General features: G+C 34.4%; 1 long non-coding RNA gene across 1 annotated transcript, besides 1 other annotated feature; it reads right to left on the minus strand.

Annotated features, from left to right (window-relative positions):
* Positions 1-928: 928 nt before the first annotated feature.
* Positions 929-2,425, minus strand: LOC124901926 (uncharacterized). Its single transcript, XR_007060879.1, has 2 exons — positions 2,388-2,425; positions 929-1,118 (listed from the first exon to the last, which is right to left on the minus strand). It is a non-coding gene; the product is annotated as an uncharacterized LOC124901926 (long non-coding RNA).
* Positions 1,534-2,733: an enhancer, noted in NCBI's record as "MED14-independent group 3 enhancer chr8:29525986-29527185 (GRCh37/hg19 assembly coordinates)". NCBI's record gives its function as "activates an origin of replication core promoter dependent on BRD2, BRD4, P300/CBP and CDK7 cofactors, and independent of MED14, by STARR-seq in HCT116 cells {active_cell/tissue: HCT116}" and the evidence as "EXISTENCE:reporter gene assay evidence [ECO:0000049][PMID:35650434]".

The following is a 3,551-nucleotide window of genomic DNA, read 5'->3' on the forward strand; positions in this document are numbered from 1 at the left end:
TATATATATTATATATATATTAATATATAATATAATATAATATATAATATATAATTATTATATATATTATATATATTATATATAATTAATATAATAATATATAATTAATATATATATAATATATATAATATATAATATAATATATAATTTAATATATAATATATTATATATAATATTATATATTATATATAAAATGTAATATATAATATAATATATAAAATATATTATATTATATAATATAATATATAAAATATATTATATTATATATTATATAAAAATATTATATATTATATATAAATTTCTATTATATATAAAATATAATATATTTTATGTATCATAAATTATAATATATAAAATATATAATATATTTTAAATATAATATATTTTATGTATTATATTTATTTTATATATTATCAAATTTTATACATATTTTATATTATATAAATATTAAATATTTATATAATATATAAAAATAGATATTTTATATATCGTATAATATATTTATATATCATATATTTTGTACATATTTATATATTTTTAAAATATTTTTCTACTTATATATTTCTTCCTATAACCCAGAAGAAAGTTATGCTGTGATCTTCTGCCAGCAGTTCCAACCTCATGACCCAGAAAACTCCTTCCAGTCTCTCCGTTTTGTAGGGCACCAGTGCTCCAAAACCCTCAGCTCTGGGGCAGCAGCAAGAGCCGGGAGCACTGCTCCTGGAGGGCTTCAGCCCCTTAGGTGGCCAGGGTAGGGCAGAGGTTTTCATCCCTTTTGATCTCAGGACTCCTTTACACTCTTGAAGACCCCGGAGAACTTTGGTTTATATAGATTACATCTATTGATATTGACTTCATTAGAAATTAAAACTGAGACATTAAAAATATTTATATAATACCTTACTTAAAATAAGAATAACAAACCCCATTCCATATTAACATAGATGATATATTTTCTGGGAAATAATATTTTTTAAAAATGCAATGTGAAGAGTGGCATTGTTTTACATATCTGCAAATGTCTTTTATGTCTGGTTTGATAGAAGCTGACTGGATTCTTACATCTTCTCCTGTATTCAGTCTCCTGTGATTTATGCAGCTGCCTCTGGAAAACGACACTGTAAATTGATGACAGAATGAGAATAAAAAAGGCACACAGTATCTTAGTATTATGAAAATTGTTTTGATCTCGCAGACCCCTTAAAGGATCTCAGGGACCCCTGTGGGTATCTGAGCCACCCCTGGAGAACTATTGGTATTGACAATCGAGCATGGTCAACAAAGTCAGTGTGGGGAGGATGATTAAGCAGTGCGCGGTGCCAGGAATAGGCAAAAAATTGGTACCTGTGTGTAGATCCCAGAGGACTCACAAAATGAGAAAACAGAAAATAAAAATGGATTTGACCACGTATGGTAATAATTGCTAATGTCACGAATGTGTCTTTCTCACCCATTATTAAGTTTCTGTGCAGTATACTCTATTTCGGGTGAACTCGGTTATGATACTTATTTGATTAGAATCAGGAACTGCATGCACATTGGCACAGCGAGTTTGTTGCAGCTGGAGCCCTGAGGAGCCATTCCGGAAACTCTGGTGTCCCAGCCCTGCCACTCTTGATGTAATCTTGGGGAGTGGATATGAACAGTTTTAGTTTACAGTTTCCATATCATAATAGATTAAGTAGTTGATTTCCAAAACTTCTTCTGTTTTAACATTGTCTGTTTGAAACTTTTTTTTTAAAAGGAGAGAAAGGTCATGGTATTCTTGAAAAGTTTCAGCTGAATTGAAAAAGTAAATACTCAGAAAAATAAGAAGGAAATAAAACTGAACATTAACCAAATTCTGGGTAGAAGGTCACTTTTAAGACATTGCAAAACATTTCTAAAAATTTTAAAACACTATCAAGAAGAAAGTAAAATTCACCCACTGTATTTTGGTGTATTTCCTTCTGAGCATACTTTCCCAGGTCACACAGTACACAGAATCTAATATTCTGATTCTTTAGGAAAACATGTTTACTAAATATTTACATAAAGAGTCCCCCCAGCTTTATAGTTGACAGTTAAAAATTTTATGTATTTAAGTTGTACAGCTTAAAGATTATAAATATGTATTATATCATCAGAAATTCATCACAACTAAATGGAAAATTCTTTACAATTTCCATTTAAATGCATAAAATTCAACTGTATGAAAATATTCAATTTAATGATTCCTTTTTTTTGTATTTGAGAAGTTGTATTAGGGTTCTAGAATTATGAATGATTTTGTTTCCATTTCGTTTTCGTTGTCCTATTTTCTCCAGTGTGGTTCAATGTTACTCTTATTAAAAATCATTTTAAGAACACACTTTTTAAAAAATGACAGAGCTATTGACTGTACTTACCAAGATGTCACATTCTTCTCTTCGAAGAGTTGCAATGCAGATTTTTCTTGACTTTCGTCAGAACCTCAGTCTTCACAGGGCTGCAGTCCCAAGGGTGTGGCTACAATTCCAAATACAACCATCATCCATCTAATCCTACCTGTTGGTGATTCATGCTGCCTTCACAAAGGATCCCATCCCCATTCAGATAGCAAGCAACTTGTCACTTCCCCACAACACAGCTTCCAACATGCAACAACTTTCCTGGAATTCACTTTTCCTGCTTCTGTGCCCCTCCCAATTCCAGAAAGATAGTGCAGAAATCACTCTCCCGGCACAGCACCATTAAACAGAGCCCTAGAGAAAACAGCAAAATCCAGCAGGAAGCAGAGAAGCCCAGAGACCTGGTCCCTCTTCCACAAGTCTCTGACATGGGTGCCCTGTTCTCAGGAACTTTAGGTCTGCCTCTCTGAGGAGGAGAGGGTGAGCTGAGTTGCAGAAAAACAAACACATCATGGAACTGAGTACCCTAAGCAATTGAGATTTATTTGTTAAAATAGAAAACAGAAGGTACATGAAGGTGAGGACAGAACCAAGTGCCCCAGCCCACATTATGGGAAGAGCACCAAATCTGGTCACACCTATTTCCAATGAGCGATTTCTTTGGTTTGTTTCCCCTGTCCAGGAGTCTTGCAACCCTGTAATTGTCTAGGTGGAACTTGGATGTCTTTACCTTTTAGTGGGAAAATGCTCTACTGCACACATGTTCATTTCCTAGGGATGCCATAACAAAGTACCATGAACTGGGTGGCTTAGAAGAACAGAAATGTGGCAGGGTGCAGTGGTTCACACCTGTAATCCCAGCATTTTGGGAGGCCGAGGTGGGCGGATCACGAGGTCAGGAGATCGAGACCATCCTGGCTAACATGGTGAAACCCCATCTCTACTAAAAATACAAAACAAAAAAAAAAAATTAGCCAGGCGTGGTGGCCGGCGCCTGTAGTCCCAGGTACTTGGGAGGCTGAGGCAGGAGAATGGCATGAATCCGGGAGGCAGAGCTTGCAGTGAGCCGAGATCGTGCCACTGCAATCCAGCCTTGGCGATAGAGTGAGACTCCATTTCAAAAAAAAAAGAATGACAGAAATGGATTGTCTCACAGCTACAGAAGCCAGAAGTCTGAAATCA

This window comes from Homo sapiens, chromosome 8 (genome assembly GCF_000001405.40).
Source record: "Homo sapiens chromosome 8, GRCh38.p14 Primary Assembly".
NCBI classification, from domain to species: domain Eukaryota; kingdom Metazoa; phylum Chordata; class Mammalia; order Primates; family Hominidae; genus Homo; species Homo sapiens.